The 18,733-nt window shown below is 34.6% G+C and overlaps 1 protein-coding gene across 10 annotated transcripts in view; it reads right to left on the bottom strand.

Annotated features, from left to right (window-relative positions):
• Positions 1-18,733, bottom strand: part of NECTIN3 (nectin cell adhesion molecule 3) — a 122,355-nt gene that overhangs the window by 77,426 nt on the left and 26,196 nt on the right. For all 10 annotated transcript variants that reach the window (NM_001243288.2, XM_017006123.2, XM_017006126.2 and 7 more), the window contains one exon: positions 4,374-4,715. In NM_001243288.2, the coding sequence (NP_001230217.1) occupies positions 4,374-4,715 (342 nt within the window). The remainder of the gene's footprint in view (positions 1-4,373; positions 4,716-18,733) is intronic.

The raw sequence follows: 18,733 nt of genomic DNA, 5'->3' as shown, positions 1-18,733 counted from the left end.
CTTTTCATATGTTTATGAATCATTTGGAACCTTTCTTCTGCAAAATGCCTATCATAGCCAGGTGTCTATTTTTTTCTTACTGGTGAGTAAAAGTTCTACATAAATTTGGGAAAACAGTCATTTGTGATTATACGTGGTGCAAATACTACATTCCTTAAATTTGGTTCTGCTACTACCACTCCATTGAAACTCTAATGTCATCAAAGACCCCTAATCTAAAACTCAACACTTTTATGTCTAGTCTCTTTAACTTTGTAGAATTTGATACTTCAGCACAGCTCTTTCCAATCAGTTGAAAAGAATTAAGTCCTAATGTGTTACAGTATTTGTTGTAAGTAATGAATTAATTCCTAGGCTATGGATTTAGAATGATACTAGCTAAGTGCTGTCCTTAGGAGAAACTAAAAAATAGTCAAAACATTTTCTGTAGGGCTTACTTCTTACTGTGGAAATGGCTGCTAGAATAACATTTTCTTAAAAACTTTCATATCTTTTCTTGATATGATATTACTCTGCCTGAGTTCTTCTTATAACTCTCTCTGAGAGCTCTTCCTATTTTTTCTAACCCCTTCCTTTAAATAAATAATCAGCCCTGGGCCTGCAATTACTTTTGTATCTCACTTAAAAACTTTTATCTGATAAACACTACTACCCAGATGATTCTGAACTTTCCCCAATTTTAATACAAGGCTTGATGCTTCAGCTTCTAACTACCTACACCTGGTTATTTCCACCTACAGATCCTCAAACTCAATAAACCTAACACCAAAATTATTTTATCCTCCCAATCACCAACACCTGTTTTTATTCAGATGTGCCCATTTAACTAGCAGTAACAGAATTTAATCACAAACTTTCAAAAGCTATTACTGTTCAAACTTTCCTTACTTCTTATATCCAATCAGTTACAAAATTCTGCTAATTATTCCTCTGTAATAGTTCTTGTCTTCATTCATGTGGCAGAAATTACAAAATTAATTGCAAGTCTTCATGGCCTCATGGCTGAGACATTATGATTTAAGGACCTCTTCATTTCAATTGATCAAAAACACCAGACCCATCTTCCTAATCACAAGTGTCATCACAGTACTCTCTAAATCAGGTCAGCCGTGAGTTAGGCATTCCTCTATGTGATGTGATCAAAGCAGTGTTTCTCAAACTTTACTGTGTACATAAGTCACTTGGGAATCTTGCTAAAATGCAGACTATCATTCAATAAGCCTAAGAGGGATCTGAAATTCTGTATTTCTAACAAGTTCCCAAGTGATGCCAATGCTGCTGGTCCAAGAACTATATTTTAAACAGCAAGGGGCTGAGAATAGAAGACAGGTGAGAGGCAGCACAACTACTGAATACAAATATGAATTTCCAGTAATATAGAGCTCAAATTCCCTATCCTAGCATTTAAGTTACTTTAACGTGGTCCTACTCTATAATTCTAAACTTTAATTCTTGTACTTCATATAAATCCTTTGAACAATCAATAAATTACTTATTCAGTGTTCCACTAATGCAGGGCTCTCAACAGGGGGTGATTCCCCACTAACTCCTGCTCCCCTCTTGAGGACACTTGGCAGTGTCTGGAGACATTATGAGTTTAACAACTGAGGAATGCTATTGGCATTTACTGGCATAGTGTTTAGAGGCCACGGATGCTGTCTACAATGAATAGTACAGCTCACTACAACAAAGAATTCTGCCCCCAAATTTCAACAATACTGGGGTTAAGAAAACTTTCCCTTAATGTATAGTGGTCCCGTAGTATTCTGCGGTGGGGTGAGGGTTGGTTCCAGTGTCCCTGAGTATACCCAAATCCGTGCATACTTAAGTCCTGCCGTTAGCCCTATGGAACCTGTGTACAGGAAAAGTTGGCCCTTCATATATGCAGGTTTCACATCCTACAAATACTCTATTCTCTATTTGCAGTTAGTTGAAAAAAAAATCCATGTATAAAGGGACCCACACAGCTCTAACCCATGATGTTCAAGGGTGAACTGCATATCATTTTCTGTTTTCCCTGCCTTCGTTCACATACTATCACAATCCTAGAATACCATTTTCATATTCTTTCATTTTTGCCTGCCCAAAACCTACTCACACCACTGAGGACTGACTCAACTATTTCTCCTACGAAATATTTCTTGACTACCAAGTTCACTAATCCATTCCTATATCCTACTCAAATAACACTGTATGACTGCTATATACTGGAAACTCTTACTGGCTTTAGGGACATAAAATTACATTTTTAAATGCACAGTTACTCTCCACTACATGTTTATAGTGGAGAAAACATAATAGTGTGGTAACTGCTACAATAAAGATATGTTCAACATAACAATGACAGCCAAAAAAGTATCAGATTTGGGGAAACGGGTCAAGAATGGCTACTAAAAGGATGTGATTTGATGAATAATAGTTACACGGAAGAAAGAAAGGCCAGAAAAAAAGGCAATCCAGGCAGAAAGAGAAACACCCATAAAAGCATAGGTTAAAAGAACTGCAAATAGTTTATGATGATGATAAGACTTGGGTTTTTGAAAAAAGAGAAGCAAGGAGAATAGATGAAGCGAGAAAAGTAGGTGTGGACAACATAATGACTAATCTTGTAACAAACAGCCTGGATTTTAAGCCAATAAGTATTGTATTAATTGAGAGGGAACTACTAAACTTTAAAGCAAAATAAAAAGTGATTTTATCCCCATGAGCTTGCTCTTTCATATGCAAAGTACTTGTTATTTATTTATTTATTTATTTATTTAGAGACACAGTCTCATTCTGTTGCCCAGGCTGGAGTGCAGTGGTATAATCTCGGCTCACTGCAACTTCCGCCTCCAGGTACAGGTGATTCTCAAGACCCAGCCACCCGAGTAGCTGGGATTACAGGCATGCACTACCATGCCTGGCTAATTTTTGTATTTTTAGTAGAGATGGGGTTTTGCCATGCTGGCCAGGCTGGTCTTGTACTCCTGGCCTCAAGTGATCCATCTGCCTCAGCCTCCCAAAGTGCTGGGATTACAGGAGTGAGCCATACAGTACTTTGTGTTACCTTTTTTACTGATGTCCTCCATGTGAGTTTTCAGATATTCATGCCTTGCCTTCTAATCAGAAAATTTCTCAAAAACATCAATCTCTTAAATGTAAGTTATATTTCCCCATAGCTCTTAGGGCAGTGTCTTAAATATACTAAGCCTCAAATATCTAATTAAAAGAATATCTCTCAACATGAAAAAATATATAATAAATTTGGACAAAATTGCTGTCCTATACTTCAGAGACATTACTATTATGTCCTTAAACATTAGGAGCTATTAACTTGTTTGGTTCTCCAGGAAGCAGACACTGTGATGTGAGAAGTATAAAAGGTTTACCAGGGAGTGATAACTGGGAGAAAAGGGAGAAGGAAGAATGAATTGAGTAAGGGGAGCTATCAGTACCCTGACAAAGTCTCCATTCAGGCCAATGGTCATATTCCATTAAAGGAGTCCACTTTGGGTAAAACTCTTCACACCACTATCTTGTTCAATCACTGGCCCCAAGAAGAGCTTACCCCTGGCTACCACTGCCTCACTTAGTCACTGGCCTGAGGTCACTCACAAAAAGAATAGCCCTGAAAACTGAAGTAATCTTAAAGGACCTAACAGCTGGACGCTGTCAGCTACCCACACTGCCAGTAGCTGTTTGAGTAAGAATCTAGGCAGTAGATCTTCATGTGAGCAGCCACCAGTTGCTATTGCTCCTCAATCTTCATTTCTATCATTTCAAAAGTACTTATCAGCATTTCCAAATTGGTTTACATTTCACTGAAAGTAGCTTAAAGTTAACGAGCTTTTTCAACATTTTACCATAAACTTTAACAGGTATCATAGGAAATAGTGGAATATCACTATTATGAGCAAAAGCACCATATTCAGATAGCTATGCAAATCTAAAATAGCAGGAATAAAATGTGATATGAAATAGTAAAACATGAGGTGTCAATGGCTCCTAGATGCAAAACTCAATTTTTTAAAAATGAAAAAATTTAAGATGGTAATTTGATTAAAGGCTGAAAATTTGAGGGGAGGTAATGAAAATAAAGATGTCACAGAAACTCAGAACTTAGTATATAATTAAAACTCATCACTATCTTTCATAAAGAAACTAGATAAAACTATGTAGCATTACATAGATAAGTAGGTATATATAGACAAGATTTTATTTACAGGGAACCTAGAATCATAAATTTTAAGAAGGATCTTGAAAAATCGTATTTGAATTATTTTACTTTAAACCTAAAGTTAAATCAAATTTCAACCATTTTAATTTCTTAAAAATATTTTTATTATAATCTTCACCACTATCACCAAAATACATAATTCAAGCATACCTACCTAACACAGTTACAGTTGTAGAGGACTGGGCATTTCCAAGCGGGAATGTAACAGCTTTGCAGATGTATTTTCCAGAATCAGAGAATCCTATGTTATGCAGAGTAATTGTTGCATCATTAAGTGAGTAATTTTTAAACAAGACTCTTCCCTGATATTCTCCTTGAACAGAGAATCCATATTGGGGATGGTGAACTGCAACAGTCTGTGAACTTTTGCCATGTATCTTCTCCCATGAAATCTGTGTTATGGTTTCATTTACTTCAATTAAACACTTTAATGAAACATTCTTTCCCCATACTGCTGTGACATGTGGCTCCACAATAATTGGTCCAGCTAAGGCACCTATGGAGGAAAAAAAAGTACTACAATTTTTAAAATAGAAAAAAGTGGTCAACACTCTCCTCCCTTCCTGACCCCCTGTGTAACTATCTCTAGCTACACACACACACACACACACACACACACACACACATGCACACACACACACATGCACTCACACGCACCACACACAAAACGTACAACTGAGTAACAAAAAGAAATGAACTAGGTGTTTTCTGGGCTTGATATGAGATCCAAATGTGACTGTCAAATAAATTAACAATACGCCAATATGTGTTGCAGTGAAAAAAGCACTAGATTAGGACCAAGTTGACTTGGAAGTACAATCCTTCCTCAATCAAGCCTTCACATGAGTTCCCAGCTCTGGCTGACACTTTGACTGCAGCCTTGTGAGAAAGACTGAGGTAGAAGATTCAGTTACATCATGCCTGGATTCCTGGCACACAGAAACTGAGAGATAATAAATGGATATTGTTTTAAAGCCATTATGTTTTGGGGTAAATTTTTTACATGGCAATAGATAACTTATGCATGTAGGATCTCCCAAACCAAATATAATACTGAAGTATCTTCTTTTGGAGGGTCCCTATGTCAAGTATCTCTACTGAAAAGTCATTAAAGACAGATCAATTGTCAGAAAATGTTAATGAAGAAATGCTTATATAAATGTAAAATAATTTTGTTTTTCCATTTCAGGGTTAAGAAAAAAAATTTCACAAGCAAAAGTTAAAATGACATCAAACTTCTTCAATATAATACGTTTTTCCTTCCTAAAAGCAATAGAGCAAAACTTACAATGTTTTGAGGGATATAAAGCTAACATTCATGACTACTATAGTCAAGCACGATGCTGCTCATTGACAAGTATATCAGAATATGTATAACAAGTCCTTGGAGGTCTACAACTCACATATGTTCTCTAACAAAATAAATGAACAAATACACAAACCAAGAAGTAAACCAAAATAAGCACTCAAAAATGGAAATCGTATAAACAATACCTTTAAAAGTTACATCTAATTAATATTTTTAAATGAATACAGAAATGCAGAAGGGCATCACCACATAATCAAGAAAAATGCATTTAAACATGTTCAAACACATCCAAATATGGTAAAAAAAAACTTTATGCAATATTATTTCCCTGAATCTTTTTTAGAGGAATAAACAAAAACAAAAAAGTAAATTAGAAGGCAAATTTTATCACCTAAGAGATGACTGAGGATCTCACAATAAGGGACTGACAATTCACACTGACTACACTTAACAGCTACGAATTTAAGTTTCAGTTTTTTAACCATTGCTTCAAAAAAGTATCAGGCCCTGAAAATTTACTCTCATGTTCTATAATCCTAGAGTACAGATAATTACTAAGCTTTTAAAATTACTCCAAGATATATGAAATGTGAAAGTATTCTAATGTATTTTAGCAACCTATCACAAGCTTGGTACTTTATAAACAAATAAAAAAGTAGTCTCATGAATATCAACAAAAAATTTCATTTATTATGAAATAATAGCTCTGTATTTAAGAAAACTACACAGCCAAGTAGGACTATTCTAAGAACAAAAGGATATTTTTAGACTGCTCATCACATTAAAAGCTCACATGACTTTCTTATTCGATGTTAAAAAGGTATTTAATAAAACTTACCATTTACTATCTGATTTAAAAAGAAAATCTAACTAAGAAAAGGATTCTTAATAAAGTAGATTCTTCTCAAATCAGTGGCCATTATCAACACTAAACAGAAAGAGGCATGGGTATTAAAAAAAGACCAAGACAAGATGGTGCACTATCATTGTTCAACTGAGACTGGAAATTCAATCCAGTGTAATATGAAAAAGGAAAGGATAAATATTAGGAAGGAAAAGAAATAATTATTATTTGAAAAATCTATTACCTGCAAAATCCAAGAAGATGAAATGAAGGGCTATTAGAACCAATAATGTAGTTGCTTATAAACATATGCAAAATGTATATGAACTATATAATCAGTATGTTACAAAGGGTGATATCTTTACAGATTTATTGCAGAAAAGGGTTTAATTTGTAAACATTAATATTTAAAACACTCATGAATAAAACTGTAAAAAACTTATAAACCTGACTTGAAAAAATAGAAGCTATGCCATATTCCTAGGTAGGAAAACTTATTTACATGTCAATTCTCCCCATATTAATACACAAATGCAATGCAATTATAGTGAAAACCCTGATAAAATTTTTTTAAAAACAGGGTAGAAATAACTGCCAAAAATATTTCAAAACACTAACAGACTACTGAAGAGGGAAAATATTAAAGTAAAAATAATAAAAGTTTGGTATTAGGAACATAAAATAATTGAAAGTACACAAACAGACCTATATATAATAGGATGTGCTATACAACAAAACTAAGATTTTGAGTGGGAAAATAATATATTAGTCAAGAAATGCTGAAAGAGCATGAGCAAAATACTTGGAAAAATACAGATCCCTCTTTTATACTAAACACTGAAAGAAAAAGAAAAAAAAACCCTAGATGGACTGAAGACCTAAAAGTAAAAAATTATTGCCTGTACATATGTATATAGACAAAACTTTCTGTATATTTTGTCAAATAACACTAATTACCCTAGAAAGGCAAATTTAACATTACTGAGGACCAAAGAAAGAATTTCTAGTTTTTATTTTATCCCCTTCAAATGGAGGTAAAACCACAACAACAACAAAGGGAGTAAGAGAAGTTTTATGGAGTGAATGTTTGTGTCCTCCCTAAAATTCATTCTGAAGCTCTGACCTCAAAGGTAGTATCTGGTAGGCCTCTGCATGATAATTAGGTTTAAATAAAGTCATACAGGTGGGCTCCCCATGATTGGACTGGTGTCCTTAAAACAAAGAAAGGAGAGCTCACTCCCTCACTTTTTCTAGGCCATGTGAGGAAACAGTGAGAAAGTGATTGTCTACAATCCAGGAAGAAGATCCTCATCAAGAACTGGATCTGCTGGCACATGGATCTTGGACTTCCCAACCTCCCCAAATGTGAGAAATAAATGTCTGCTGTTTAAGCTGCCCAGTTTACAGTATTTTGTTATAGCAGCCTGCAATGGTTTGGATGTTTTGTCCCCTACAAATTTCATGTTGAAATGTGACCTCCCATATTGGAGGTGGACCTAATGAGAGGTATTTGGGTCATGGGAGTGGAGCCCTCATTAATAGCTTGGTGCTGTCCCTGTGGTAATGAGTGAGTTTCCACTCTGAGTTCACAGGAGAGGAGATCTGGCTGTTTAAAAGAGGCTCGCACTTCCCCGCTTTCTTTTGCTTTATGTAACATGTTGGCTCCCCTTCACTTTCTCCCATGATTCTAAGCTTCCTGAGGCCCTCACCAGAAACAGATGCCAGCACCATGTTTCCTGTGCAGCCTGAAGAATGGTGAGCCAAAATAAGCCTGTTTCCTTTAAAATTACCAAGTATCAGGTATTCCTTTATAGCAACACAAATGGACTATAATACACACCCCAAGTTGACTAAGACAGGTAGTATTGGAATAACCTAATTATATCTCCTTACAATCCAGAAAAACCACAGCCTAGTGGGCCACCATTACCAAAAGGAGTATTGGGAGATACTGTTGTGGGGTGGAGGGAACTGACCCATTGGTTCAAAATTGTATTTTAAAAATTCTACAACATTTAGGTTAGGAAAGCCTCTCTCTCAGCATGACAGCAGAGACAGAAAAATCACCCAATAAAAAAGGCTGAGAGACTTAACCAGAAGGAGTTACCCCTAATGAACAAAGTTGATATTTACAAAAAAAAAAAAAAAATTTAGAAGTGGCTATATTTTAAGGTGTTTGGCTTTACTAGTAAACAAATACTAATGTAACTATCAAGATTTATTTTTCATCTTTTATTTTAATTTCTAGGAACTAATAAGTGATTTTTACTTTCTAATTTTTCTGTATTCTGAGTTTTACTGCTTGTTACAAAAGTAAGTTTTGCTGTGTTTTTTGTTTGATTCAACCCTTAAACCTTTCACCAAAGCGTTGTACTACTCTTCTAGTATTAATAAATTTGGCCCTCCCTTAGATTCCATAAGCCTCTAATTACATATCTGCTTTTTTATGTTTTAATTAGCCAGAGTTCTGTTGTTGCAAATAAAAGAATCTAATACATTTCCATTCCTGGACGAAATCCAAATGTTAAAAACCACTTCTGAATAAGATTTTCCCCCATGGAATCTTAAAACTGTGCAGAAACAGATTTTCTGTTGTAGTTCTTAAACCAAACTCCAAATTAGAATGCCTCACTACTCAGAGACTACCAATCTTTAAGCCTACTACTACTTCCTCCCTCTACTTTCCCACATGAAGCTGAGTTTAACTGGAGAGCAGAAAGGTCCTGAAGAAATGTAAACGTTTATTATTAAAGAGCTAAATTATTTAAAGTTTAAGTTCATCACTATTGGTAATGTAAGTCTAGAATATAAAGAGGCAAAGGAATAGCAAATAATTGAATCTTCCACATCTAGCAAGACTCTAACCTTGTCATAAGGTGGTCCTGGCTACTGCACACTCTAGACACGTAGGAAAACCATAATAAAACAGGATACTACTCTGTTTCTACTCTGTCTTCCTGATTTAAAAGTTTAGTTTTGTATCATTAGCTAATTAATTAAATTGAATTTATTATTCTTTCAGAGAAAGAGACAGCATTTATTCCCCTATCTGTAGCTCCACAAAAACACTACAACCATGAAAACACAACTCTTTGGAGTCTTCATGTGTCTTTGAATAGTCATTCAGTCAATATTTACAGAGTGCCTGGGAGATACAAAACATTTGGAAATACACACATTCAAGAAGATGCTTGTGACAGAAAAGAAAATGTAATGACGTATATAACTACTATGGGTTTTTTAAAAAAAAATGAAGGGAGATCCATATTACAGATCACACACACTAAAAGTGTTTGAAATTAAAATATGAATAAAATTGCAACCATTCCCTTTCTTTCCTCCCTGACTCTCAGAAATGAACCAAGAAGAAACAGAAACCATCACAAACTTTTGACACTACACTTTTTAAAACTCTGATACTATCTTTTACCACATTTCACTTCTCAGCCTACAGTAATGGCATGCATATTGGACATTTCAGTTCCCAGGATCTTTCAAATGTTAAGATCTACACAATGGGTATGCAAATATGCTATAAAAGAAACATTTATTTTAGTCTGTGTTCAACTAAACACCACCTTTGAAAATCTCTAAGATATGAATCCTTTCAGACTCCTCAAAATTTAGAATAATTTAGAGGCAACTAATAAAATATACATTAACAAACTAGCAAGGTAATAGCATATAGTTGTCCTCAAAAATTTCATCATACTTCAACAAAACACATTTTGGAAGAATCAAATTTATCACCAGCACATTCAGTAATTAACCTGATTTGTTTTAAACTGATAGGTAAGTCATGTCAACTCTGAAAATATAACAAAAAGGTTTTTCAATAAAATCTCCAAACAATACTCAAACAGAAATAACCATGTAAGAATAAAGCCAGGTGAATTAAATAACATATAAACTGCAAATAAATAACACTATAAACTGCAAACAAATATTATCAAAGAATCTCTAACTTCATCTCATGTCATAATTAGAAATGATAATTCTGGAATTAAAGGTTTCTATATTCTAAGGAGAAACCTGGGTCACATGCCAAAAACTGGTTGAGAAAACCAACCATTTCTTCATTCATTCATCAGAATGCGTTGGGTGAACAATTTGTGCCAGGCACTGCTCTAGGTGCTGAGCCATTAGACAGTTTGCATTTTAATGAGGAAACAGACAATTAGCAAGGAACTAAAAATATAGAGAACAGAGGTGTAAATGTCAAGGATCCATAGTGCATTCTAACATTTAAATTCAGTAGCATCAATAAAGCTGGCCAGGGAAGCAAGAAGGGAACCAAGAGGGTATCCTATACATTAAGTGAAGAAAGTACCTACAGAGGGGTCAATTATTCCAAATGCTGCCAAGAAGTGGGAAAAAAAAAAAAAAAAAAGCACTGGTAAGTAACCACTGAATTTAGCAACTGTTTTGGTGGAGTGGTGAGAATAAAAGCTTGATTTGAAACAGAATAGAGACGACACCTTACAGACATGAAGGAGTAATAAGATTTATCCTTTTGCCTGAAACAACCATTTCAAGTTAACAGTCAACAGGCAACAAAGTTCTGATCCCTCAGAGGCAGTAGACGAAGTGAAGCACAAGGACAGAGAAACTAAATAGAGCTAGGCAGTCTTTGAGTTATATCCAAAATTGTACTGAAGGTTCTAGCCAGTACAATCAAGCAAGAAAAAGAAATAAATTCCAAATCAGAAAGGAACAAATGAAATGTCTTTATTCACAGAAAACACAATTGTCTTTAGAGAAAATATGATGGAATCTACAATAAAGCTACTATGAAAAGGGTGTTTAGTAGCAGACCTTATGCAGGACCTAAGACCAATATATACATATCGATTGTATTTCTATGCATTAGCAGCAGAAAATTAGAAAATAAAAAATGTAAAACATTGCTACGTAGAATAGCATCAAAAGTAGAAAATAAGGGCTGGGTGCAGTGGCTCACATCTGTAATTTAAACACTTTGGGAGGCCGAGGCAGGTAAATTGCTTGAGGTCAGGAATTTAAGACCAGCCTGGGCAATATGGCCAAACCCCATCTCTACAAAAAATAGTAAGTTAGCCAGGCATGGTGGCTCACCCCAGCTATTCAGGAGGCTGAGGTGGGAGTATCGCTTGAGTCTGAGAGGCAGAGGTTGCAATGAGCCAAGATCGTGCCACTGCACTCCAGCCTGGGTGACAGAGCAAGACCCTGTCTCAAAAAAAAAAGAAAAAAGAAAAAAGAAAAAAAAGAAAAGAAAACAAAAAAGAAAAAAAGATGAAATACAGATAAATCTGACCAAAGGTGTGAAAAAACTGTACAGTTAGAACTGTAAAATTTGCTGAGAGAAATTAAAGAATTATCTAAAGAAATGGAGAGACATACTTTATTCATGGATCAGAAGACACAACATTATTAACACATTAATTCTCTCTAAATTGATCTACAGATTTAACACAATCAAATTCCCATCTTTATTCGAAACTGACAAGTTGTTCTAAAATTTATCTAGAAATGCAAATATTTGTGACCTTAAGTTAGGCAGGTATTTCTTACATATGTCATTAAAAGCACAATGAGTTGTCTTCATCAAAATAAAAAAAATTCTGCTCTTCGACACTTAAAACCACTAATGAGGAGAAAATCCTTGTAAAACATGCATCTGGTAAAGGATTTATATCTGATAAGAACCAAAACACATAAAGAACTCCCAAAACTCCACAATAAAAAGACAAACCAATAAAACATGAGCAAAAGAGGTCGGGTGCAGTGGCTCATGACTGTAATCCTAGCAACTTTGGGAAGCTATAGCAGGAGGACCGTTTGAGCTCAGGAGTTTGAGACCACCCTGGCCAACATAGTGAGAACCCATCTCTACGAAAAATAAAAAATTAGCCAGACGTGTTGGTGTACGCCTGTAGTCCCAGCTATTCAGGAGTCTGAGATGGAAGAATCGCTTGAGCCTAGAAGGTCAAGGCTGCAGTAAACTCCAGTCATGCCACTGCACTCCAGCCTTGTAGACAGATCAAGATCCTCTCCCTCAAAAAAAAAAAAAAAAAAAAAAAGATCTGAACAGACATCACCAAAGATACATTAACAAGCACATGAAAAGATGATCAACATTTTAAGGAAATGTAAACTAAAACTAAAATAAGGTACTGCTACATAGCCATAAGAGTGGACAAAATCAAATGGGCTGACAATAACAAGTTTTGAAGAAAATATGGATGAATTAGAACTCTCCTACATTGCTGGTTAAACTGTAAAATGGTAAAACCACACTGGAATACACTTAGCAGTCTCTTAAAGTTAAACATACCATATGATCCAGCCATATCATTCCTGTGTCTTTGCTCATCAGAAAAGAAGGCATGTGTCCACACAAAGACTTGTACACTTGCATACCCATGTTCATAGTGGCTTTATTTGTACACCCAAGAAGTAGAAACAATCCAAATGTCCATCAAGAGACGAATGAATATACAAATTGTGGTAAACCCATACAATGAAATATTAGTCAGCAATACAAAGGGGCATCCAACTAGCAATAGCTGCAACTTCCCCAGCTTGATAAAGAACATCTACAAAACAAAACACCCACAGCCAACATCATACTTAATGTCAAGAAACTAGAATCTTTCCAGTTAAGATCAGAAATAGGCAAGGATTTCCCCTCTCACTACTCCTTTTTCAACAGCATACCAGAAGTCCTTACTAAAGTAATAAGACCAGAAAAGGCAATAAATGTATACTGATTAGAAAGGAAGTTTTATTTCTTCCTTTCTTTATTTCTTTATTTATTAAGAAATAAAACTTCCTTTCTAATCAAAAATTTAGTCATTGTGGGTGATGAAAAAACTCCTGGAGCTAATAATCAATTACAGCAAGGTTACAGAATACAAAGTTAATTTAAAAAAAAAAAAAAGTCAATCACTTTCTTACGTATCAGTAATGATCAAGTGGAATTTGAAGTTAAAAACACAAATTTACATAGCACCCACAACAATAAAATGCTTAGGTATAAATCTAACAAAATATGTACAAGATCTATATGCAGAAAACTATACAATTCTGAGAAAATCAAATAACTAAGTAAATGGGGAGATATTTCATGTTCTTGAATAGGAAGACTCAATATTGTCAAGATGCTAGATCTATAGATTCAACAACATTCCAATCAAAATCTCAGCAAGTTATTTTGTGGCTAGCAACAAACTGATTCTCAAATGTATACGGAGAAACAAAAGACCCAGAAGAGTCAACACAATGTTGAAGAAGAACAAAGTCAGAGGACTTACATTATCTGACTTCAAGACTTAACATAAAGTTACTGTGATCAAGACCACGTGGTATTGGCTAAAGAATAGACAGGTCAGTGGAACAGAATAGAGCCCAAAAACAGACTCATATAGTCTTTAACTATACGTTAACTTTGATCTTTAACAAAAGAGCAAAGGCAATGTAATAAAGAAAAGATCTTTTCAACAAATGATGCTGGAACAACCAGACATCCACATACAAATAAATAATTCTAGACACAGATTTTATATCTTTCACAAAAATTAACTTGAAATAGATAATCAACCTAAGTATAAAATGCAAAACTACAAAAACCCTAGAAGACAACACAGCAAAAAAAATCTAGATGACCTTAGATACGACAATAATGTTTTAGATGAAACACCAAAGGCATGATCCATAAAAGAAACTCTTGATAAGCTAGGCTTCATTTAAATTAAAAATTTCTGCTCTGAAAAACACACTATAAAGAGAATAAAAAGACAAGCCATGCTTAAAGTTACTGATCTTGAATTACAGCAGCATCAACCAGCTTTCAGCTGCCTGAGTGGAGGCGTGAAGAAGGCACAGAACAAGATTTAACCTGGGTTGGACATTTTACCAGGCATGCACAATTTAAAAGAGAAACAGGCAAGGGAGTTGATGTGGTTTTGATGGATTATGAATTTTAAGTTGGTCAAGAAGTGGGGGAGGAGGAAGTAGGATGAAAGGATTATAGAAACCAATATAGCTAAAGAACTATTGCAACTGAGGTACTAAGTGGGGTGAGGTGGAAAATGGGAGATGATGGGTGGATAGTGGGAAAGTTAATTTCTCTGGGATTCAGTCTTAACGTTTATAAAATGTTTCATCACCTTAAAATTGTACATTCTTGAAAACTGCCAAAAAGCTTTTATATACACCATTTCTATTGATCTCCACATCCCAACCCTTGCTCCTAAAAAATCACCCTGTTAGGTGCAGGTAATTTATTTTCCATATGATGGACCAAGAATGAAAAAGGTCAAGACTTACCCTGGGCCATATAAATTATAAGGGACAGTATCATTTGCCATAGTCCAGAGGATCAAGGAAGACTCTGCTAGATGTGACATTTAAGCTATACCTTGAAGGCTCATCTTTTCATAAGCTGAGAAGACCATTCCATGCTAAGCAAAGATTCAGTATGAAGCCAAAATACATAAGTACAAATAAGGCTGGAAACGAAGGCTGAATACAAAATGGGAAAGGACAGTAATCTGAAATGGCACAAAGAACTAGAACTAAAGTCTTGTAATTATTCTCTGGCACATTGCTTAGCATTTTCTAAAACAGTACTGTCTCAGTCACTAGCCACATGTGGCTATTTAAATTTAAATTAAATTAGGTTTTCAGTTACAAGCCATATTTCAAGTACTCAATTTCCACAATTAGCTAGTGACAATCATACTGAACAGTATAGCTACATTATATTTGCATCACTGCAGAAAGTTCTAGATAACACAATTCTAGAATAGAAGTTCAATAAAAGTCAACTTCCTTTCTAAATAAAGGTTTACAGGTTTCTATGAAGCTAAAAAATTCAGCTTCAAATAATTTTTAAAAGTTTACGTTTCTATAATAACTTACACGTAACCAATATAGTGAATAACAGGCATAGAAAATAGCAAATTTCTACAAAAATATTTTCTACACATTAACACTAACTATAAAGTTAATCCTACTGTATCATGATATTTTTAATAATCTTTAAGTAGCAATTTCAGGCTTTTATAAAATGTTCTTTCTAAAATGGGGTTTTCATCATCTATTCTCAAACAATTGCTATGTTTTAATTTCAAATAAGGACAGTATCTTGATTTAACCAACCAATATTAAGTAAGGGTTCTCTTTAGTTGAATTTACTGTGTGGGTGAAAGCACAATTTCTTCATATTTTCAGAAGAGAAGCACAAAACTTTAGAACAGGAAGAGACCTTAGGGGGTATCTGATATAACCTCATTTTATAGAGGTAGTGATCTGCTGTTATTACATGACTAGTTAATGGCAAAACACAGATAAGAAGCAGCCTCCTGGCTTTCAACAGTTATCTTCCCAACTCCCTCATGTTGAGCACAAAATGAGTAAAATTGAATGTTTTATAGAAAGAAAATCTATAAGAGCTACTAGTCAGGACGTTCAAAATCTCAATGATTTTCAAATTACAAAGTTAGAGAGGTATTGCAGTTCTTAAACTAAGCACTATGCAAGCAAAATGCAGAGACAGAGTTTTCATAACAATTATTCAGATTCTACTCTTTCCATTCCCACTTCAACCTGTGAAACTGTTGCAATTTTAAAATACTAATGAATTATTTTTAAAATAATTTCAAAATTAGTTTTTAAAAAAGTCTTAAAGTTAGTTTAAATTACTATTTAAATATTTAAATGAGTTTTAATCCTAATAAAATGTATTCCCAAAAATATCACAAAAATTATATTACAGGTTGAGTAGCCCTTATTTGAAATGCTTAGGACAAGATGTGTTTCAAATTTTGGCTGTTTTTTTCTTATTTTGAAATATTTGCATATACATGATGAGATATCTTGGGAATAGGACTAAAGCCTAAACACAAAATTCATTTATGTTTCATACACACCTTATACATATAGCTTGAAAGTAATTTTACACAGTATTTTTTAAAATTTTGTGCATGAAAGCAAGTTTGTGTGCACTGAACCATCAGAGAACAAAGTTGTCAGCTATGGAAAGTTTCAAATTTTGGAGCATTTCAAATTTTGTGAACTTGTAAATATCTTCTTAGAAGTTGACAATGTAAGGAACTGGCGCTTTAAAGACAAAAATCTACCAATTCTCATATAGCCTTCTATAACGGTCCAGGTAAAAATTTGTATACCCACATGTCAACATTCATTAATAATCCAAAAATCTCAAACTTGCTGTTTCAAAGGAAGCACCTCTAAACAATTACATAGGGCTTATGATTCAGTAACACACGTACTTCTAAGGTCTAAGAATGAGACTTAAAACTGTAGACGAGTAACAAAATGGAATAAAAAAAAGCAAGAACTTTGGAGTTGGACTAACCTAGATTCAAGAACAGTGTGACTCTGGGTCCTTGAGCTGTTTTATCACCTATAAAACAAGACTATTATCACCTAATTAACAAGGTCTCAATAAAATTTAAAAGGAAGCACTCAAACATGGAAATAGGTACTAACTAAGCACCAAAGGAAGAAGCACTAAAATTGTTTGAGGTCCAGTTAAAACTAAAGCCTGATTCTGTAGTGGCACTAATGTACAAGGCTATATGATTTCTTCCCCACTCCCCTAACCCCAGCATCACTAGCAGCTAAGAGGTAAGCACAGAGAATGTATAGAGCCAGACTGATCCATAGTTAGACTTTGCGAGGCTGGTGTGACTGCAAATTTTTGTTTGAGACACGTAGATACTCTAAGACAACTGAAGGTTAAGAAAAAAAGGGTGCTAATACAGGCAAAATATAGGATGCATAGCACATATTAAGTGTTCAAATATTTATTGATTTTCACTCATGGAATATAAAGTATTAATACTATGTTCTACAACACAGAAGATTGTATAGCTACAAATTCCAAGAACTGATAATCTAGAAAAGAAAATAAGACATACAAGGCAATGAACGTTATGGCTACAGTGACCACGTAATTTGTTAACCAAGCGAAAATTTTGTTTAGAGAAACATTATTAATAATTTTACCACAATACTTGTAAACCTAGATATTCCAAGGCAAACAGGGACATATTATCCTTATGAGAGCCTCCTAGGTAAGAGTACAAACTTAAAAAGATACTTAGGAAAACCAATGAGAGAAGTGTGTAGAGTAAGAAAAGCTACATCTAGAAAGTAACATTTTCTTTCAGCTACAACTAAACTAGTGACTAATTTTGTCTGTAAGCTGTAGGAGATCAGTAGCATTTATGATGGATGTTAGGTGAGGTGGGATTTTCCAGGCAGGGTAAAGGCACTAAAGGAAAAACAAAAGCAAACAGGCTCACAGCAACAGAAAACACAAGGAAAGTTTATAAAACTCAGAAAAACCCAAGTATTGGTAACAAAATGACAGGAGATAAGGCCAGAAAGGCAAGTTCTTAATTAAGTTTGTTTGCTCATCTTTTTTTTTTTTTTTTAAACTAACGTTTATTTAACAACCTACCTGTATGGGCCAGGCATTTATGCTGAGGAAGGACAAAGGAGATGAAGCATGCTCCTTACCTTGGGAAACTTAAAGTGTAGTCAGGAGGAGAAACAGAATATTGCAGGTTGAAAATACAGGAAGTCAAAAAATTAACAAGAGTAAATAGGAAAACTGGTCTAACAGTTCACATATTGTACTGGAAAAAAGAGAGCACAGATGCAGAAAGAGTAATTAGGTGAAATGAACCTGTTATCTTATTTGGAAAAATGAGTCTCTGAAGATGTAATTAAGTTAAAGGTCTCAGGATGAGATGACACTGGATTATCCAGGTAGATCCCAAATCCAATGACAAGTGTCCTTACAGAAAATACACAGAGTGAGGTCAGAGAGATGAGAAGGCCATGTAAAGACACAGGAAAAAACTGGAGTTATGCAGCCACAAGACAAGGAATGCCTGTAGCCACCAAAGCTGAAAGAAGCATGGAACAAAATCTCCCTTAGAGCCACTGGAGGGAACACGGCTTGATTTTGAAATAGGATGCACAGCACAAATTACAGACTTCTGCGCTCCAGAACTGTGTGAGAATATATTTAAGTCACTAGTTTATGATAATGTGTTATAGAAGCCCTAGGAAACTAATATAAGAGAGTATTGCACTAAATTTGGCATGATACCCAGAACAACAGTAGTGATAACATGAACAAAAACAGGGAAGACGTTCAGACTTGCACACTGCTCAAAGGTCCTAGAATCAGTGTTAGTTTAGATGTATTTTTTTCTTCTCTGTTCTAAATCCAGATAACTTTACAGATTAAAACCAAAGAAAAGGATAATTATAAACTCAATAGGTTTCAGCTTCCTCATCTAGAAAAGGAAGAATCTAGACTAGAAAGTGGTTTTCAAATTGA

This window comes from Homo sapiens, chromosome 3, assembly GCF_000001405.40.
Source record: "Homo sapiens chromosome 3, GRCh38.p14 Primary Assembly".
NCBI lineage: Eukaryota > Metazoa > Chordata > Mammalia > Primates > Hominidae > Homo > Homo sapiens.
The sequence above is the reverse complement of the archived record's forward strand: the minus strand, read 5'-3'. Positions and strand labels throughout refer to the sequence as shown.